Source organism: Homo sapiens, chromosome X, assembly GCF_000001405.40.
Source record: "Homo sapiens chromosome X, GRCh38.p14 Primary Assembly".
NCBI classification, from domain to species: Eukaryota; Metazoa; Chordata; class Mammalia; order Primates; family Hominidae; genus Homo; species Homo sapiens.
In genome coordinates this window covers 150,771,092-150,792,644 of record NC_000023.11, presented here as the reverse complement: position 1 = coordinate 150,792,644, position 21,553 = coordinate 150,771,092, and the positions used below count along the sequence as shown (strand labels likewise).

The 21,553-nt window shown below is 45.7% G+C and overlaps 1 protein-coding gene across 8 annotated transcripts in view, besides 3 other annotated features; it reads left to right on the top strand.

The window, feature by feature from the left end:
• Positions 1-21,553, top strand: part of CD99L2 (CD99 molecule like 2) — a 132,333-nt gene that overhangs the window by 106,024 nt on the left and 4,756 nt on the right. For 7 of the 8 annotated variants that reach the window (NM_134445.4, NM_134446.4, NM_001184808.2 and 4 more), the window contains 2 exons: positions 15,163-15,201; positions 16,352-16,471. In NM_134445.4, coding sequence (NP_604394.1) covers positions 15,163-15,201; positions 16,352-16,471 — 159 coding nt within the window. Of the gene's footprint in view, positions 1-15,162; positions 15,202-16,351; positions 16,472-20,822; positions 20,841-21,553 lie in introns of all 8 variants that reach the window. The other variant, NM_001242614.2, reaches the window with a different exon arrangement.
• Positions 14,442-15,073: an enhancer, noted in NCBI's record as "H3K27ac-H3K4me1 hESC enhancer chrX:149946045-149946676 (GRCh37/hg19 assembly coordinates)". NCBI's record gives its function as "activates a minimal SCP1, AML or CMV promoter by ChIP-STARR-seq in primed H9 embryonic stem cells {active_cell/tissue: H9 hESC(primed)}" and the evidence as "EXISTENCE:reporter gene assay evidence [ECO:0000049][PMID:30033119]".
• Positions 19,686-20,231: an enhancer, noted in NCBI's record as "H3K4me1 hESC enhancer chrX:149940887-149941432 (GRCh37/hg19 assembly coordinates)". NCBI's record gives its function as "activates a minimal SCP1, AML or CMV promoter by ChIP-STARR-seq in naive H9 embryonic stem cells {active_cell/tissue: H9 hESC(naive)}" and the evidence as "EXISTENCE:reporter gene assay evidence [ECO:0000049][PMID:30033119]".
• Positions 20,232-20,779: an enhancer, noted in NCBI's record as "H3K4me1 hESC enhancer chrX:149940339-149940886 (GRCh37/hg19 assembly coordinates)". NCBI's record gives its function as "activates a minimal SCP1, AML or CMV promoter by ChIP-STARR-seq in naive H9 embryonic stem cells {active_cell/tissue: H9 hESC(naive)}" and the evidence as "EXISTENCE:reporter gene assay evidence [ECO:0000049][PMID:30033119]".

Sequence of the window (21,553 nt, the reverse complement as noted above, 5' to 3'; positions counted from 1 at the left end):
CTGGTTGTAACTCTGATACACTCCCCACAGTCTTGGCTGTGGTTACTAGTGTTTGCTCTTTTCTTGCAAGAACGGTGTGCCTTTCGTATGGGAATAGTGTTCTCTTCCGATTAAAGGATACCATGGTTAAATTTATCCTTCGAAACACCTTTCCAGACAGAGTCATCTCTACTAAAAAGCACAAAAAGCCTCTAAATGAAACCTACAGGTGTCAGGATAACATGGAACATTTAAAGGGCAAATCCAGCAAATTAGCCAATTACTTCTGGGTGATAAGTGGTATTTCCAGATGGTGAAATGAGAGCAGTAGGCACACGTGTAAGCACACACATGAATGAAAGTCTGAATGGCATGTCAGGGGCTTTTCCTTATTAAAAGTGCATGTTTTAGCAAGGAAGAAGTGTTCAGGAATTCTTTAATTAGGCTCATATTTGAACTTCTCTTGTAAAGAATAATCAATTGTTAGCTTAAGTTATACCCTCTGCCATTATAGGTGTCAGGAAAAGAAGATAAAGGGGGTCGTGGAAAAAAGGACAAGTGTGAAACTGAAACATGGTTATGATAAGCACACCATGGAATTCTCAGACACTGTCCTTTACACAAAAATATGCTAATGCTGTGAGCAAAGGTAAAACATCACATTTCAATAAATTATGATCTTCAGCATGAAAAGAATCCTAATTAATGCATTTTTCAGGCTTGGGTCTTAGGCACATAGATTCAGCTACATTTTGGAGTGTATTTTTGAAACAATACATTATTTGTTATGGATTTTTTTTCTCAGGAAGACCTCTTACCCTGTAGAAGCCCCACATTTTGCCTATAGGTAACGATGACAGTCTTTTGTCAACAGGTCCTATTGCCTTTCTCTAAGAAGGTGATGGCCTATAAGCCCTCCTCCTCCGCCCTTATTTCCTTCCTGCCCAGCCTGGGCAGGACTCTGATTGTCCCCCATTTCTGCCAACAGACTGCTTTCCATAGCACTTTGAGAAATTTGAGGCCAATGTTTCAACTCCTCATGGCCCCCCTGCCATGTATACCCTAGAGTATGCAAGCCCCTACTCCCACTGTGGTTCCCAATGGCTTCCTGATGGTCACAGCCCTCTGTCCTGTGTGGCCTCTGTAGCATTTGACTTTGATGATCACCTTCTCCTTAACATTCTTTCCTCCTGGGCCCTTTCTCACTCATTGACTGGTCTCATTCATGAGTCTCATTCACTGCTTCTTTCTGAACACTGCTGCCTCTTGGATTTATTTCCTTGGTGTCCAATTCTGTATGTCATTCTCTTTCACTGGGAAAGAGAATGGTATTAGAAACCAAGATCTGAGTATTCATTGCTTAGTGGTATATCGCTACTTCTAGACTGTCTAAGCAGACAGAGATAGGAAATAGGAAATATATGTATATATACTAACCCATGTGTCTTACTTCAGGCTGCTATAACAAATTACCACAGACTGGGTGATAATTAAGCAACAGACATTTGTTTCTCACAGTTCTAGAGGCTGGGAAGTCCAAGACCAAGTCATGGATAGATACAGTATCCAGTGAGGATCTGCATCCTCTTTTGGAGATGGCTATCTTCTTGTTGTGTCCCTGATTGGTGGAGAGGACAGAGTGGGGAGAAAGCTCTGGTGTCTCTTCTTATAAGGGTTCTAATCCTATCATGAGGGGTCGACCTTCATTACCTAATTAACTCCCAAAGACCCCACCTCCTAATATCATCACATTGGAGGTTAGGACTTCAACATATGACCTTGAGAGACGGGATACAAATGTTCAGTACATAACACCATATATATACACATATCCAAAATAATTTCTTTTAACCGTCAGCAGGTATATAACCTAAACATGACTTCATACTTATATCTCCAACTGTAATCCAGTGCCAGAAGGATTATTTCGATCTTCCTTTCTCACTTACCTATAACTTTCCTCTCTGACAGTGAGACACCTAGCTCCTACTACCCGTCATTCATTTACTGTCTTACTCAATTCAGGTATACACGTATAGAGCATCAGAATTGCTAACTCATACCCCCAGGAGAAACAACTTTACCAACTAGAGTCCAGTGTTTATGTTCAGTTTCTTTTGTCTTTACCTTACAGTTCCCAGTCAAAATACTGTTTTTCAAAGTTACTTAGGTCGGTTCCTTTACCTTCCTCATCCATTCAGTACAGTAATGCCACCCATTTATAATGGAGTTAGATTCATTTGTCATAGTCTGCATTCCATCCTGGGAGTCCCCCACCCACCTGGTTGATGTTTTGTTCTTCTGCTTGTAGGCATTAAAGTTCACTCTTTGTAACATATAGTTCTGTGGGTTTTGGCAAATGCATAGAGTCACATGTCCACCACCCAAGTACCATACAGAACAGTTTCTTCACCATGCAAGGACTTCTGTACATGCCCTTGATAGTCAGCCACTCCCCCTTCCCTCAACCCTAGTCTAGTTTCTATTAGCGCAACCACTGATTTGTTTACTTCTCTGTGGTTTTACCTTATCCAGGATGCCATAGAATTGGAGCCATACAGTATATAGGCTTTTCAGACTAGCTTCTTTCACTTAGCAATATGCATTTAAAGTTTTTTCATGTTTTTTCATAGCTTGGTAGTTTGTTCTTTTTAGCATTGAACAATATCCCATTGTATGGATGTACCACTTTGTTTATCCATTCACCTGCTGAAGGACATCTTGGTTGCTTCCAGTCTGGAGTGAATATGAATAAAACTGCTATAAATAAAACTTTTTTTTGAGATAGGATCTCACTCTGTTGCCTAGCCTGGAGTGCAGTAATGCAAACACAGTTCACTGAAGCATTGACCTCCTGAGCTCAAGCAATCCTCCCACCTCAGCCTCCTGAGTATCTGGGACCATAGATACGCACCACCATACTTGACTAACTTTTAAAATTTTTGTAGGGATGGGGTCTTGCTATGTTGCCCAGGGTGGTCTCGAGCTCCTGGGCTCAGGTGATTCTTCTGCCTTGGCCTCCCAATATGCTGGGATACACGTGGGAGCCGTTGCGCCCAGCTATAAACATTTTTAAACATTACATACAGGTTTCTGTGTAGACATACACATAATACTTTATACTTTTGTTCTATGAACAACACTATGAAGAAAAGAAAAAGACAAGCCACAGATTTGGAGAAAATATTTGCAAAATCATATACCTGATAAAGGACTTGTATTCAGATGATATAAAGAATTCATAGGCCGGGCGTGGTGGCTCACGCCTGTAATCCCAGCACTTCTGGAGGCCGACGCGGGTGGATCACGAGGTCAGGGGATCGAGACCATCCTGGCTAACACGGTGAAACCCTGTCTCTACTAAAAATACAAAAAATTAGCTGGGCATGGTAGCACGTGCCTGTAGTCCCAGCTACTCGGGAGGCTGAGGCAGGAGAATCGCTTGAACCTGGGAGGTGGAAGTTGCAGTGAGCTGAGATCACACCACTGCACTCCAGCCTGGGTGACAGAGCAAGACTCTGTCTCAAAAAAAAAAAAAAAAGAAAAAAAGAATTCATAAAAGTCAACAATAAGAACTCAACCCCAATTTTAAAATGGGTAAAAAATATGAAGAGACTTCACCAAAGAAGAATATAAAATAGGAAAATAAGATATTCAACGTCATTTCTCACTAGGGAAATACAAATGAAAACAAGATACCACTATGCACCTGTTAGAATGTCTAAAATCCAAAAAGCTGATAATATCAATTGCTGATGAGGATGCAGAGCAACAAGAACGCTCATTCATTGTTTGTGAGAATGCAAAATGGTACGGCCACCTTGGAAGAGAGCTTGACAGTTTATTGTAAAGTTCAACATAGACTTGCCATATGACCTAGCAGTCATACACTATTGCTGGTTTTTGCTCCGGTTGAACAGTCTGCCGACAGACTTAGGGAAGGGAAAAATGAGAGCAGCCTGGGGTAAAAATGCCGTGGACTCAAGCTGTTTTTACTGAAATCAAATGACTTTCCTGAAATGACTAACTTTTTGTCCAGGTTTATAGTTGCTTTTTGAGGAGAGGATTTGTTGATCTCCTTACTGTCTCATGCCAGAAGTCTCTTCCCTGGTATCTTTTGAATCTAGATTATTCTTTCTCTTTATCTCCCCTCAAGCCCAGGCCATCTTCACCCTCCCTTGGGATGACCAGCTAAGCGGTTAAGAGTGTTGACCTTAACCGCTTAACTGGTATCTTTGCTCCAGCTTGTCCTCCTTGCAGCCGCAAGAGAGAACCATCAAGAACATGAATGTGACCCTGTCATTCCTCTGTTTAAAAAATACTGTGTAACAATGAAAAGACAAACAATCCAATTAAAAAATGAGCATAGGATTTGAACAGACACATCACAAAAGAAGTTACATGATGTTCAAAATAATTTATGTGTGTTGAACCAATCTTGCATCCTAGGGATAAAGTCTACTTGATCGTGTTGGATTAGCTTTTTGATATGCTGCTGGATTCAATTTGCTGGTATTTTGTTGAGGATTTTTGCATCTATGTTCATCAATGATATCAGCCTGAAGTTTTCTTTTTGTATTGTGTCCTGCTACAGTAACCAAAACAGCATGGTACTGGTACAAGAACAGACACATAGACCAGTGGAACAGAATAGAGAACATACAAAAAATGCCTCAGACCTGCAGCCATCTGATCTTCAACAAAATTGACAAAACAAGCAGTGGGGAAAGGACTCCTTTTATATATATATATATATATATATATATATATATATATACTTTAAGTTCTAGGGTACATGTACACAACGTGCGGGTTTGTTTCATATGTATACATGTGCCATGTTGGTTTGCTGTACCCATTAACTCGTCATTTACATTAGGTATATCTCCTAGTGCTATCCCTCCCCCCTCCCCCAATCCCACGACAGGTCCCAGTGTGTGATGTTCCCCACCCTGTGTCCAAGTGTTCTCATTGTTCAGTTCCCACCTATGAGTGAGAACATGCGGTGTTTGGTTTTCTGCCTTTGTGATAGTTTGCTCAGAATGATGGTTTCCAACTTTATCCATGTCCCTGCAAAGGACATGAACTCATCCTTTTTTATGGCTGCATAGTATTTCATGGTGTATGTGTGTCACATTTTCTTAATCCAGTCTATCATTGATGGACATTTGGGTTGGTTAGGACTCTTTATTCAATAAATGGTGCTGGGATAACTGGCTGGCCATATGCAGAAGATTGAAGCTGGACCCCTACCTTTTTGCCATATGCAAAAATCAACTCAAGATGGATTAAAGACTTAAATGTAAAACCCAAATCTATGAAAACCCTGAAGACAAGCTAGGCAATACTATTCTGGACATAGGACCTTTGTCAGAAGGCAAAGTCTTCATGACAAAGACACCAAAAACAATTGCAACAAAAACAAAAATCCACACATGGGACCTCATCAAACTAAAGAGCTTCTGCACAGCAAAAGAAACTATCAACAGAGTAAACAGACAACCTATAGAATGTGAGAAAATATTTGCAAACTATGCATCCAACAAAGGTCTAATATCCAGAATCTATAAGGAACTTAAACAAATTTACTAGCAAAAAACAAACCATCCCATTAAAAAGCGGGCAAAAGACATGAACAGACTTTTCTCAAAAGAAGACATACATGCGGCCAACAAGCATATGAAAAAAAGCTTAACATCACTAATCATTAGAGAAATGCAAATCAAAACCACAATGAGATACCTTCTCACACCAGTCAGAATGGCTGTTATCAAAAAGTCAAAAAATAAATGCTGACGAGGTTGTGGAGAAAGGGGAACATTTATGCACTGCTGATGGGAATGTAAATTAGTTCAGCCAGCGTTGAAAAAAGTTTGGTGATTTCTCAAAGAACTTAAAACAGAATTACCATTTGAGCCAGCAATGCCATTATTTAGTATATACCCAAACACAAATTGCTCTATCATAAAGACACATGCATGTGTATGTTCAGTGCAGCACTATTCACAGTAGCAAAGACACGGAATCAACCTAAGTGCCCATCAACAGAGGACTAGATGAAGAAAATGTGGTACATATATACCAGGAAATACTACACAGCCTTAAAAAATGAGATCACGTCCTTTGCAACAACTTAGATGGAGCTGGAGGCCATTATCCTAAGCAAACTAACTCAGGAACAGAAAACCAGATACCACATGTTCTCACTTATAAGTGGGAGCTAAATGATGAGAACACATAGACGCATAGAGGGGAACAACACACTCTGGGGCCTATCAAGGGGTGGAGGGTGGGAGGAGGGAAAGGATCGGGAAAAATAACTAATGAATACTAGGCTTAATACCTAGGCGATGAAATAATCTGTACAACAAATCCCCATGACACACAATTTACCTGTATAACAAACCTGCACATGTACCCCTGAACCTAAAATTTTTTAAAAAAAAAAACCAAAATCATTATTCTTTGGGGAAATACAAATCAAACCACCATGAGATACCACAACACATCCTCCAGAATAACTAAAATTTAAAAGGTAGTATCAAATGTTGATGAAGATGTGGAGTGACTGCAGTTCTCATACATCATTGGTAGGGATGTCAAGTTTCTTCTAAAGCTGAACATAGACCTACCTAGCGACCCAGCAATTTCATTCCCTATTCAAGAGAAATGAGAGCTATGTTCTGCCCGCTTCCAACAACAAAACAAAAGACTTATAAAAGAATGCTCATTGCTTGATCTACGATAGCAGAAAACACAAACAAAACTTGGAAACACCCAGGTATCAATAGGAGAATTGATCGACAAACTGTGATACATTTATATGTTTATTGCAATGGGATGAGTTACTGATACGACAGCATGGATAAATGTCAAAAACAATATGCTGAGTAAAAGAGGCTAATGAAAAAAGAGTACGTATTATTTGAGCCCAATTATATGAAGTTCCACTACAGCCAAAACTAAGCTATAATGATAGAAATGAGATCTGTGGCTGCGGGGGTTAGGTGTGTGAATAAGATCAACTGGGTGTCACTTTCTGGCATGATGGTTATGCTCTGTGTCTTGATAGGGGTCTCGGTTTCATAGTTGTGTGCATCTGTCAAAAGTTATCCACTGGTACGTGGAAGATTTATGTGTTTCACTGTATGTAAGTTTTACCTTAAAAAAGGAATCGTAAGCAAATGTAAAATGCTAGGTAACCATAGGTTGAAGGATACTGATGTCTGTAACTTTGACATGTGTTACAAAAATAAGATCGATTGACAAGAGGGATGGCAGACGTGATAAAGTGAATGATGCAAAATGTTAATTACAGGTCTGCGTGCTGGGAATTTGGGTGTTCACTGCAAGAAGTTTTAAACTTTTTTGTATGTTTGAAATTTTTCTTAATTAGATGTTGGTGAAAAAAATTAAAGAAGCAGGAACAACAACAAAAGCCTCTTTAGTGGTTCCCCACTGCTTACGAGATAAGTTCAAGCCCCTTAGTCTGCTGACATGTTCTTTCTGCCCTAGACCGCCAGGTTCCTGTGATCTTCAAACATGGAGAAAGGCCAGTAGGTACATATGCCAGTGCCTGCAGATGACATTCCTCGGTCTAAACTGCTTGCCTTCCACCATGTAAATTCCCAGTCATCCTCAAGCAAGTGCTAAGTTACCCATGCTGGAGATCCCCTCCTCTCAGGAGGCTGCCCCCATCTGTGGTCCTGTCTCCCTGCCCACTCTCCGCCCTGCAGCACAGCTTCCATCTCCTGCCCCTGGGCTCTCCTAGAGCTTCTGTCACTCCGCTGGTACAGGATAGCACATGTCATTCTGAACCACAGCGGGTGGTGTTTATCTTTTTTGCTTCTGCTAGACTGGGCTTCCTGTGTATCCCTGACACCTCCATGCAGGTTTGCTGGCATGAGGACTGTGGAGCAAACACCCAGCTTTGCTCTCTGCCTTCTCTGTCACACCTCCCTGTGAAGGCTAGAGTGATACTTTTGATTGGCGAAGCCAGGGTGAGCCTGCTGATCCTCTGGGCCACATTACTGGTGGGATCATGGCATGACCTGCTGCTTTCTCCTGGAACCTCAAAGGAGTGCGAGAGCCAGGGCCCACCACATCGCTAGCTGGGGAAGTGTGCACTCTCATAGTAGGTGAACCCTGTGTCTGCTCTATAAGCCCAGCTTTCCCCCACATGAGCTCTGGGATGATTTTTGTGAGAAGGGAAAAGGGAGAGAAGTAACACGTAGCTTCTGTGTGGCCTCAGGTCATGTCCTCTAACTAGTACACAGAAGCCCTGCTCTTGAGGGTGCTGCTGTACTTTAGCCTCTTCATCAAGCAGATGCCTTACCTTTGATCTTTCTCTGGCTCCTTACATCTGTTCTCAGTTGGTAAAGAACCCGGAGGGGAGGAGAAGCGGGGAGGGGTGTTATTAGCACTCCCGGATCACCCTCACTGGCCTGTTGGTCAGAAGACTCTTGATAAATTAACACAAGGAACCAAATGGGGGCAAGGGCACTGCTGGCTGGGGAAAGAGGCCATTTGCTGCTTTCCTTTCTCCCTATCCCCAGAAGGAGAGTCTTCCTTCTGTGCTCCTTAAGGATCCCCTAAGCAGTGTCTACTCCGTTGCTCGGGCTAGGTGTTTTACCCTCTCCTTCGTTATCTGCAGACCTTTCCCAAACTTCTGAGTCTGCTCAAAGCTAGAGTTTTCGTGACAGCTCTTTCAAGGGTGCCACTTGGAGCCTTGGGTGGTACGAAATGGATGTCTTCACGGTGAGCCTTGTGTCTGCTCCAAGTGCGAACCCTCCATGCACTGCAGAGAACACCAGAAGGAGAGGAGCACTACCTGAGCTTCTCCTTCCGGGTCTAAAGGTGGAACTTGCTTTGCAGCACCCAGCATTTCACTGTACTGATTCCTTTTTTTGGATCACCACCTCCTGCGTTTAGCAGCCCATATGCTGGGCTCACTCAGCTATACACTGCTTGTTCATAACTACTGTGGGTTCACAGGGCTGAAACACTGCCTCATTTTTCTTAATCAGAAAAAAATTATTTTGAAAATGTTCGAATCAAATTGGGCACATTTTTACACCAAGAGGGCATTTTTTTAAAGGCCAAAGCATGCAGTTCTTAAACACTGAGCCAAGACTAAAAACCCTCCTTCTAAAGACATACAGGCATTCTCTTACCCATGTGTCTGGGTTGCATACAGAGGCTATCTGGAGATGTCCCCAAGTGTGAAGCGTGAACGCCCTCACTTGTAGTTCACAGGGTTAAAGGGGACGGTACTGACTATGATCAGTTGGTTGACTGTAACTTTGAGTATTAGTTCCCTCCAAATGTAGCCTGTTGATCCCGGTTTTATATATATAGAGAGAGAGATATACTTTAAGTTCTGGGATACATGTGCAGAACGTGCAGGTTTGTTACATAGTTATACACGTGCCATGGTGGTTTGCTGCACCCATCAACCTGTCACGTACATTAGGTGTTTCTCCTAATGCTATCCCTCCCCAAGCCCCCTACCCCCCTACCCCCCGACAGGCCCCGGTGTGTGATATTCCCCTCCCTGTGTCCATGTGTTCTCATCGTTCAGCACAGTGTCAAAGTTCATCTGTGTTGTAGCACGCACCAGCATTTCCTTCCTTTTTATGGCTGAATATTCCATTGTGTGGCTAGACCACATTTTATCTATCCATTTACCCTCTTGGGTTTTTGAAGAAAACATTTCTCTTCCATTTTCACTGTGTTTACAGTCATTGTCTTCAAGTATCTGGGCCCTCTCATGATCCCTTTCTGTTATGGACTAAATGTTTGTGTCTCCTGAAAATTCATGTGTTGAAACCCTAACCCCCAATAGGATGTTATTTGGAGGGTAGGGCCTTTGGGTGACGTGAGGTCTTGAAGGTGGGGTCTTTGTGATGGGATTAGTTCTAAGAAGAGATACCTGAGAGTTCTCTTCTTTGGACCTATTTCCACATTCATTTCAGCTTTCATAACATGTAAAGAAATAGGATGTTTCAGATGTGAGGAATAGCTCCCCAGCTCTGGTGTTCTGTGATGTGAAGAGACCCACTTGCTCCCTTAGACTCCCCTTCCCCAAACACGTACCTGGGAACACGGCGTGAACATGGCTTTTGTCCTAGATGACCACCTTGCTGGTATCTCAGGAGCTTGACATAAGACAAGGAGAGTTTTAAGGGTCTGTATCAGATTGGAAGGGGATACCCATTATATTACCTAGAGGGAGGGCATTCCCATCCCTGTGGTGGGGGATGGATAAAATCTGGGCCTTGGAGACTTCCTGGAACAGTGAGGAGTGCCCTCCCCAGTGGCTAGCATAGGCAGCCATGTTTTGGTAGATTTTTCAGTTCAGTTTGACTTGGTAACTATGGGGTATTTGATGCAAGATTTTCTTCTCTTTGTTTATTCATTTTTTTAAAAGTTGTTTTTATTTTGCACTTTGGCCATTTTTTTAGATAATGAAAATACATTTCTAAAATATCTAAAAGCCCTAGCTATGTCTATTAGAAGAGTCTAGAACACTTATAGATGTCTTTAAATACTTGAACATCTCCCCCAGCAGTTATAATCTTCCTACCATTACGTTACTCTCCATGCCCTTGGCAACCAGGTGGGTCAGGCACTCACGGTGAGCCCAGGTTGTGCTGCTGTCAGAGAAGGGCAGCTCCGTGTGGTGCATCCCCGCCTCCCCCAGATGTATGGCTACGTAGGAATCAAGGCTGCCATGTATGCGTATAGCATTGTCTTTTGTCTGTGAGATGCTGAGGGTCTGACGCTTCCTTTGATCGCAGGGCTTATTCACAACTTTCTCAGTGAGGTCATGCCTCCTTTCTACAGGGCCTCTGTAGCTATGGTGGTTGCTATAGCTAGAGAGGTTCCTATAGCTATGAGACCTGCTATGGCAGTGGTCACTATTGCTACAGTGACGGTCCCTATTGCTATGGTGTGGCTATAGCAACGGCAGCAGTCCCTAGAGTTATGGCAGTCCATACAGCTACTTATATGCATAGGTATCTATACTCAAAGCAAATTGCAGCATGTGATACACTGTGCAGGGAGACTTCTGGTCTACTAGAAAGCTACTGTAGTCTCTTTGGCATATAATTGTGAACTCAGAAGGCAGGTGGGAATACAAAACATACTGAAACTGAAGAGTCCGCCAGTGACCTGTGAAATTGCCTCTTTGAGCTCTCTCTCCAGCTGTGGGAAAGAGGGGTGGATAGATTTGCATGGGGCTTGCAGAGTTAAAACTTCTTACAAATTACATGAAAAAGACTTGTTTGTTGTTTCATGATCCAGGAAGAATCACTAGTAATATTTCTGACTGCGTGCTCGGAGTACTTTTTCTATGCACAAGTATATATTTGTAAATATTTGTGATTTTTAAAAAAATAAAAATGGGATCATGCTATCCTGAAACCATTTTTTTCATTCAATAATACACTGAATATCATTCTCTGTCATTAAAGGGTCTTCTAAAATACCGTGTCAGTGGTTACATTATATTATGATATACCATAATTTATTTCACCAGGACCCTATTTTTGTACAGAGATTCCCCTCAGCTTTTTGCTGCTCTGCACAGTGCTGTGATGAACATTGTCTTAGCCAAATGTGCACAACCCTAGTCAGATAACTTCCCAGAAGTCAAATGGCTGGGTACAGAAAGCAGACACTTTTAAAGATGCGACACTTTGAGTGGTACTGCTGAATGATATTCCATTAAGGTTGTGCCAACCTCCATTTCCACCACTAGTAAGTAAACAGGTGCCTGTTTTCTCAAATTATCACCTCCACTGGGCATTATAGTTTTGTTATCTTTGCAGATTTGTTCAGAGCAAAATGCTATCCTGTTTAAATATGCATTTCTTTGAATCTAAAAGGAAGTGAAACACTTTTTCAATGTCTTATTAGACACTCTTAAAATATTTTGTGAATTGCCTGTTTGTGTTCTTTGCCCGCTTTTTTTTTTTACTGGGGTCTGCATATTTTCTCATTTCTGCATATTTCTGCATATTTTCTCATATATTTTAAGGACTCCTTTTACATTAGAGATTAGGAAGCCCTTATATATTCCATAAACATTTTATTCATTCATTCATCAGTTGATGAACCTTTGGGTTGTTTATAGCTTTTATGAATACTGCGATGAACATGTGTGTGCACATTTTTATGTGGACATATGTTTTCAGTTACCTCGGGTATATATCTAGAAATGGAATTGTTAGTCATGTTGTAACTCCATGTTTAACTTCTTAAGGAGCAATCAAACTGTTTTCCATAGCAGCTGCACCATTTTACATGCCTGCTAGCAATGTTTAGGGGTTCCAATTTCTTCACATCCTTACCAACACTTCTTCCTTTCTCTCCCTCTCTCCCTTCCCCTTGTCTTCTTTCCTTTTTCTTTTTTTGGATTATAGTTATCCTAGTGGATATGAGATGGTGTCTCATTATGGTTTTGGTTTGCATTTCCCCAATGACCAACAGTGTTGAGCATCTTTTCATGTGTTTATTGGCCATTTGTATGTCTCTTTGGAGAAACATCTATTCATGTCCTTTGCCCATTTTTAGATTGAATGATTTGCCTTTTTATTATTGAGCTGAAGGGGTCCTTTATATATTCTCAATACTAGCTCCTTATCAGATACATATTTTGCAAATATGTTCTCCTATTCTGTGGGTTGTCATTCTACTTTCTTGATGATGTCCTTTGAAGCACACAAGTTTTTAATTTTGACAAAGCCCAATTTAGTTTTTCTTTTGTTGCTTGCACTTTTAGTACTGAAGTTTTCACTTTTGATCTGATCTTTTCCATTTTCAGTTTCTGGCTTTAGGATCATATTTAGAAAGTCATTTTTTACCCCAAGCTAATAGAAATTCCTTACCCCTAAATTTTTCTATAGTGCTTTTACGCCTTCATCCACTTTAGTTTTACTGGGAACTGATCTTCACGGATGGTATTGGGTTGGGTAATTTTATTTTATGCCCATGACTCATCACCAATACCATCTTTTGCACAGTGTGCATTTTGTAAAGTAACGGGGTTCAGCCTGTGCCTAGAGGAAGTAAGCGAAGCTCGGTAGCCCAGCGTGGCTCAAAGCGATGACCTCGGCTTGGTTAACTCCAGTGGCCTGTGTGGCTGACTTCAGGTTCATGCAGTGAGAAAGGACAGAAGGATCTAAGATGACTGGCTGTTTTTTCTTCCAGATGTTTCTTAGCCTCACAGTAGTTTCAGTTCACATGCCCATCTGAGAAGACTTGCCCACAGGATGGGATCACTTTTTTTGAGGAGGAAGAGAAGCACATTTTTGTCATCTTTTTAGGACAGGACCTCCAACAATCACAAATGGTCAGATAGGAATTGCTGGAGCTGTGAACTATTGAGCTTTGAGTCTTTTTGAAAGTCTGGGAGAGTCAGCCCTTCTGTCCATTTGTCCCTGGGGGGAAATTAGGAAGGGGTTCGACCTGTTTATGTTTCTTCTCACAGCCTGTTGCTCCGCAGTCTTGTGATATTTAAGTTGCTGGGAATCCTTGTGGCCAAGTACTCCTAAGGGAAAGGAGACCTGAGAACACTCAGTTTCCTTCTGCCTTGAGGTGAAAGAATAGGTTGAATTACTCAGAGTCCAGAAAAATGGAAGTCTAGTGACATGAATACATTAGCAGAGGATGCCATCACGACAGCCACCTCCAGCATAGCGGAGGGGACCTCTCTGTTGATCTGGCTGCACACAGTGACCCCCATCTTCCTGTTGGTTATGCTTTCTCCAACAGCAATGATTGTATGTGTGTATTTTTTTGTTTTTTTTTTGTTTTGTTTTTAATGCTGGTGCTCTTTGTTAATAACCATTCATATCCAATCAGGGATCTTTATACACTGCATAGAGCTCAAGGATTCAGCCTTAGGTGGGAACATAACAAACCTCATTTTTCCCCAGGAATCTTTTATTTATATATATATATATATATATATATTTTTTTTTTTTTATTATACTTTAAGTTGTAGGGTACATGTCCCTAATGTAAATGATGAGTTAATGGGTGCAGCACACCAACATGAATCTTTTTCTTTTAATAGGCTTTATTTTTTAGAGCAGTTTCAGTTTCACAGAAAAATAGAGAGGAAGGTACAGAGAGTTCTCATGTTTCCCCCACCCCCACATGTGCACAGCCTCCCCAACTATCAATACCCCCCCACCCTGCCAGAGTGGTACATTTTTACAACCCATGAACCTCCATTCCTCCTGACTCTTTGATTGGTGAAGGAAATGTTGGAGCTCATTTGCCTTCAATATCCCAGGGCGGTTTCCCCTGAGAACCCCGGGCTCTGGGAACACAGTCTCCCTCCATTAATGAGTGTTCGGCCCTGAGAAGAGGGTGGCATGAACGGTGAACTCAACGCTAATTAAGGTACTGAAATGGCACCAGTGGCTTGTCAGGGAGTAGCTGTCTGTGGAAGGGGTGCGTGCGTGTGTGTGTGCGTGTGTGAATTTAACTCTCTGCAGTACTATCGTGTGTGATTTGTGTGACCACCACCATAGTCAATATACAGAACAGTCTGTCACCACAAGGCTCCTGACTGTTGCTCATTTATAATCATAGCCAACTCCCTCCCTCCCAACTCTCACCAGCCCCTGCCAGCATTCATCTGTTCTCCATTTCTGTGATACTTCAGATCCTTTTGAATTTCAAAATAGTGGATAAGGGATTGTGAGCCTACATTTGTTTATGTTCCAAGAGCAACTTCAGCTATAGTTGAGGCAGTGGCTACGTCAGAGACCCGTGGTGGTGGCACTCAAAGTCGGGCTGTCCCGGCACAGCACCCCACCCCACCCCCCACTTATGGTGAGGCCGCTAGTGCAGCTGCACCACTGGTAGCAAAGAGGTGAAATAGAATACTGTGTCTAAAGAGCCCGGCATGTGAGGCATGCTCAGGGCAAGGTGGCTGCCATTTTAATAATAAAAAGTTCCACCTGGTGGCCTGGGCTTTGCAGGTGGTAGGCATAAGAAAGCAGGCCTCATTGCAGTCCAGTAGAAGCCTACGGGTGATCCACTGGTGGGGGTCTTGTCGCATAGGTGGGATTGGAAGGGCCAGCACTGCCATCCGTCTCGCGGAGGCCCGAGCTCGAGCCTGAGCTGGCTGGTCGCTGGCACTAAGTGCTTTTGTCTTTTCTTCAGGTGATGGCCGGTACGGCAGCAATGACGACCCTGGATCTGGTGGGTTTCTGAATCCTGAGGCTCCTGTTGGCCATGTGAAAGGAAAATGAATCTCAGGACCCCAAAATCACTAAGCCAAGGGAAAAGTCAAGCTAGAAACTGCATCAGGCAAACGTGCCTCCCATTCTACTCCTAAATAAGATAGCTGCAAAGATGGAAAAAGCTGCACGCCTCCCTCACAATTTGCCTACAAAGAAATTTCTTATGGGCCTCAATATCTTTACCCTAAAACAGTTCTGTGAATTTCACCCTGGCAATACAAACTGATAGCTGATCTTTACAGAGGGAGAGAGAGCCGTCCCTCTGCTCCCCTGATACAAATGCATCTCTGGTTGCTTCCTCTGCCCAATTGCTTATGTAAAAATGCAGGTTCACTGAGCCAGACAAAATTGTGTATTCAGTGAAAGGCTGATCAAGGACTCAAAAGAATGCAACCTTTTGTCTCTTTCTCTTATCTCCCTATGACCTGGAAGCACCCCACCTCTACCCCTGCTTTGAGTTGTCCCACCTTTCTGGACCAAACCAATGTACGTCTTACACATATTGATTGATGTCTCATGTCTCCCGAAATGTATAAAATCAGCTGTGCCCCCGCCACCTTGGCGCGTGTCGTCAGGACCTCCTGAGGCTGTGTCATGGGTGTGTCCTTAACCTTGGCAAAATAAACTTTCTAAATTGATTGAGGCCCATCTCAGATATTTCACAGCAGCTACAAGGAGACATAGTGCTGACCCACTCTGGTCTCAGAGTTGGCCTTCCCCTGAACGTTTCCAATAGATAATCATGAGGCCAATAGAGGGGTGTAGCCATTTGAAGGAAGGAAGCATGAAGATTGGGGTGCCGGGGGAAGTAGCCCAGTGGGAAGCCTGCAGGGCGTCAGTCACAGAGAGCTCTGCACCATTTCCGTGTCTCCCTTTCAAGCTCCTCAAAAGTGAAGCCCTTACAGAAAACGAGAAGTCCTAGGCAAATCCAAGGGGCACCATGTCTTTGTAATGCCGTAGATCTGTGTGGCATGGCCCTCTCCTGCTGGCTTGGGGGTTGGGGGCGTCTAGTAGTTTGGTGCTAGAGGAGAAGCAGGCTCCCAGGCTGCTCCCTGCGGTGCTTTGTCTCTGACCTCACCTGTCCTCATTTCTCCCCCTTCTTCACGCAGGCATGGTGGCAGAGCCTGGCACCATTGCCGGGGTGGCCAGCGCCCTGGCCATGGCCCTCATCGGTGCCGTCTCCAGCTACATCTCCTACCAGCAGAAGAAGTTCTGCTTCAGCATTCAGCGTAAGTGCAGCCACCCACTCGTGGCTAGGAACCAGCTGGCAAGGTCTTTGGAGGGAAAGGGGCCAGGACAGATCCAGATCCCTCCACAGCCTGCCTGAGACCCACTCCCAAGCAGACTTCCTGGGACGGGGGTGGAGGCAACAGTTTTGGAAATCCCTGGGGACAGATCTGGGCTGAATTAAAGTGTAAACCACCCTGCAAGAGCGCGTGGGGCTGGCCCTGATGACCTTCACCTTCCAGGGCCCCAGCTCCCAGGGGTATTTCTGTGGGGACAGAGCTCAGTGACCACTGTGATGTTTCCTTCACGTAGAATGGGAGGGACCCTGGACTGCACCCATAGCTTCAGACCTCAGCCAAGCGGATGAGGGCCTTTGGAGGCCCTGCGTCACCAGCTCCCTCCCATGCTGCTGGCTCCCTCAGGAGCAGAGGGCAGCAGTTCCTGGGGGTTTGCAAAGCACGGCCCTTATTGCTCTGGCAGTGCCCCCGTCACATCGTGAGAAGTCACTGCCTGGTGCTCTTCCCCCTACGAGCCACAAACTGTATGGAATCATTAATTGCTCCAAAGAAGTAGGAATGTGAGAGAAAGAATGGTGTGGTTCCCCCCCGACCCACCACCCTTTACTAGGTTTTTAAAAGACAGTTTTCATCTCATGCTGTAGCTGTGAGTCTGGAAGTCATAGATTAATGGAATAGTTACAAATGGAATCCTGTCTTCACCCATCGGCGCCCCACATCAGGCAGCCCTGTGGGGATGCTGTTGAGGGAACAAGACCTTGCTTGTCCCTTTTGTAAGCACAGATGGATGCTCTGTCACTGTTTGCTGAGTGGAGCGTGTCTCCAGTTCAAGGCTGGCAATTTTCAGTTCAAGTGACAGAATGTGACTCAGCTGTAGCTTGTCTCTTTCCACTCCTTCCCCGGCCCCTTTGATGCAATGGGAAGCTTAGAAGCAACCCACGTGGGTCTTTCCCTACCCTTGCTGTGGCCCTCCGCCCTTAAGTCTAGCCTGAGCTGAGCTTCCCAGAAAACTAACCTGGGTCCCAAGATGCTTTACGGAAGTCTCCAACTGTTTATTAATCTGACCATCATATTTGTTTGCTTCACTCTTGTAGAACATTCTTGACCAGGGCGACACACACAGCAGGCACAGCAGTACTGCAGGAGCACGTTGACATGTCAGTGCGCAGCCTGCGAAACTGTTCATGGCCACCCTGCTTGAGATCCCACGGACCCACCGTGGATCCGGAAGCTTGACTGTAGAGTGGCATGAGCAGGGAATGGGTCAGACAGAGTCCAGGGCTGGGGAATGGATTGTTTTTAGAGTTACCCTTTTCCCTCAAATCAAAAATCAAGGAATCCTCTAACTGGTGAAAAAGATGGGAATCCAACCTTCTAATTGCCTGGACACTGATATTTAGAAGGAGACATTGGGCGAGAGGGTCGAGTTGCATTTAGCGCGGCGGGGGAAGTTTTGCATCAGCCTCCTGGGCTGTGCCTGGAACAAGGAGCCCAGGGCAACCAGGTACATAGTCACAGCCCTTCATCTCTGACCGTGTTCTTATTGCATTTGGCAAAAAAGTAGAAGCCGCCTAATACAGGGGTTTTCTGTTCAAGAGGCCCCAAGGCTGTCCTCCGTGGGCTCTCCCTCCGGCAGGTGGATTGGAACGAGATGGGGATTCTGGGACACAGCTCAATCCACATGGCCTTCCCCACGGCCAGGGATCCTCATTTGAAACTGCTCTTTGGGCTGGGAGCTCTCCATACTCGTCTCCCCTCCCTGTTTTAGAGGAGAGGGAGCAAGGACCTGGCCAGGGACACTTTGGGAGAACAACTCAGAGCATCCCGCTTGCCAGGAGAGGAGTGAAGATTTTGGATAAGCATCCAGGTTCTCAAGGTGGCCTCTTGGGAAAAGATAAAAGCCCAGATTTAGATTAAACCAGATCTGTAGGACAAAGTTAGAACTGACTGACAGAAAAATCTTTCCTGTATGACTGACTAAACTAGTTGGTAACTAAAATGTCATTGAACGAATATTTATTATTAAAAAAAATCCTACACCCAAAGATGTCCTCAAAATGGAGGCCACAGTGGCAGGGGAGGTCCTGGTGGCTGGCTAGAGGGCTTCTCCTGTGTGGACCTTTGCTGGAGAGCTTATTTGGCTGGAAGCACCATGTCAGATACATTTTGGCCTGATTTTCTGATGATTTCCCCTTCTAGGTGGCTGGGGTGGCAAGGAGGTTTGGTTCGTAGCAACAAAGTAGTTGTGAGCTCTTTGAACGAAAAGGCTAATGCCCTGGGAGCCAAAAGGTCTCACTGGTGAGGTTTGCCAAAGCTGTATGAGTTCACTGGGGCTGCCAGAACAGAGAGTCACAAACTGAGTGGCTCAAAACAACAGAAGTTGATTCTCTCCCAGTTCCAGGGGACTCCGGATGTTCCTTGGCTTGTGGCCATATCATTCCAATCTCGGTTTATATCCTAAATCCAGAATGACCTCATCTTAACATCCTTAACTTAATTACACCTGCAAAGACCCTGTTCCTGAATAAGGCCATGTTCACAGGTTCCAGGGATGAGGACACACGCAGATCTTTTTTGGCATGGGGCGGGGCATTCTTCACTATAGCATCGTCAGCCTAATGGTGAGATGCGACAGTCCACAGTTTTCACATCCATGCCCATTACAAAACTGGGTGAGATGGCCAGGCCAAAGGATGGCTTTGAGACTTTAAAAAGCATGCTGGGTAAAAGAAACTATTTAAACTACAGGTCTGTAGTTCCTCGTAAGAGCAGTGTCCCGGGCATCGTGCGCTTGCCAGCTACCTGCCATTGCCTCTCTTCCGGGCTCTGCACATGGGTGAAAAGCCAGCCCTGTAACTCGGCCTGGCAAGGGCAGGGCCATGGATGGGGAGAGTTCTTGGGCTGAGCAGACAGGGTGGCCGGCTTGGGCCCTCTCCTGCTGGGCCCTCAGTTTCCCCATCAAGGGTATCTCGACTTCCTTCTGCTCTGGAATTAAAAAGTCAGAGGCTGGCTTGAGGCTGCTCAGGTGTCAGTAGGAACAGAGAGAGAAAAATAGGTTGATTTCCAAAGCACAAAGTGAACATCTTGATTGTATCTGTCTCTGTGGGACATTAAAATGAAAGGAAAATACATTATTTTCATGCTTATTTCCTAAAACGGGCCAGTGTGAGGTTTTGCGAATTGGATCAGCAGGCAAAGCGGGGCAGCTCCCAGGAACCCCGTCGGCCCAGTGTGTCCATCTTGGATTTCAGTGCCCTTCCCCTCCCCTCCAACCTTCCTTCTCCCATGGCGCCTTCCTGTGTGGCTGTCTCCCCAAGCTAGAGGCTGGGAGTCCTCCTGTCCCCCCACCTCATGTCCGTGCATTCCCCAGTCCTGGGATTTGTGCCACCTGTGTAGGTCTCCTCTTGAGCCACACCTCCCTATCACCATTGCCATGGCCCCTGCCAGTCCAGAGCCAAGGTCTTCTCCTCATCTCCCGTCCAAAAGGTTCCATAGACCTTTTTGCCTGTGCAGTCTCCTCCACACCTCACGCTCCTCCAGCGGGACCTGTTTTAAAATGCCTGGATCCCCCTTATGCTTCCTGCTGCCCTCAAGGTCCTGGCTGAGCCTGAGTTTGGCAGTGGAAGCCCTTCATGGTTTGGTCCCAACCACATCCTTTCCCCTCCATAGGCTTCCCAGAGGCCTTTCACTTCCCGAGGGCGCCAGGTGCTCTTCCATCCCCATCCCGGGCCTCTGCTGTCCCCCGTCCTGACCTAGCTCCTCTCGCCCTGCAGGCCTGGAGCAGCCTCTCCCAGCCTGTGGTCCTACAGCGCCCCCTGCTGACCTCACCTGGTGCTCATGGGGCGGGATTGGGCCGGTTGGTTTCTGAGTGTGCGACTCCCAGCTCGCCTTGCCCCCTCCGTGATCAGGAGTCTCTGGACCGTCCATTCCGTGGCGGGGCTGCGTGTACATCATGTCCCTGGCACCTGGCCCGGGCCAGAATCAGGAGGAGTCCCGCAGACGTTTGTGGGGTGGCTGAAAACACTGAGAAGCTGGGGGTTGGGCCTCCTGTCCCCACTCTTTCCCCTGAGTCTCAGCCACTGCCACATGGAGATGGCGGTAGAGGGGACCGGGGTGCAGAACACCAAGCTCTGGGGAGACAGCAGGAGGTGGCTGCGAGGAAGGCCTGCCCCCACCACTGTGGCCCTCAGGTGCTCTCGGCCTCTGCTGCTGCCAAAAGGCCCATGCTGGGGACCCTTGGCTTCCCTTGCCTTTGCCCTCAGTGTGGAAAGCCCGCATGTTTGCTGTCAGGAGCGCTCTTACTCCAGGGATTCTAAGCTTTGTGTCTTGCCTTCAGATGCAGCAGCAGGTCAAGGTAACGCTGCTTTGCCTTCCTCACTTTCCTTTTGCTTCAGCCTTGATGCTTCCTCATTCGCCCCCTGCTCTGGCGCTTCCTTGCCGCTCTTCTCCCTCCTGCTTCCCTGGCACTCACCGACGTGGCTGTAACCAGGACCATCTTTAGCTTACCCTGATGCGTGTGAGAGGATGCCACCTGCCAGACACTCTGTCCCCAGGCTGGATGTGGCAGGGGTGGGGGGAGAGTTGAGGTGCCATGGTGAGGACTCAGGTGCCCACTGGTGGTCATGCCTGGGGAGCACATAGAGGGCCACCCACAGGAAGGAGACGATCCAGCGCCCACTGGGTTGGCAGCTAGCAGTGATCACGAGGCTCAGGGTGTGTCTCCTGGCCCCCACCTGTCAGCTGGGAAGGTGCACCTGGGGCAGCTTCCACTGCACTCATCACCTGCCCCGCTCTGCGTGGGGCCGGCCACACCTGCCAAAGAGCAACGCCCGCATTTGCCACAGGCCCATTTGGCTCCCACCTCAAGCCCAGCAGCCACCGGGGCAGGCAGGTGGTGGGCATTCTTGTTTAGGCAAGGAGCCTGTAGCCCAGGACGATGGCTTGACTTGCACTGGTGCCTGGTCGGTCGGTCGGTCGGTTGGAACCATGCCCCAGTTTTCCCACAGACCCGGGGCTGAAGGGTTCCAGTCCCTGTGCTACGCAGGGATGAGACACAGACTCTTGACT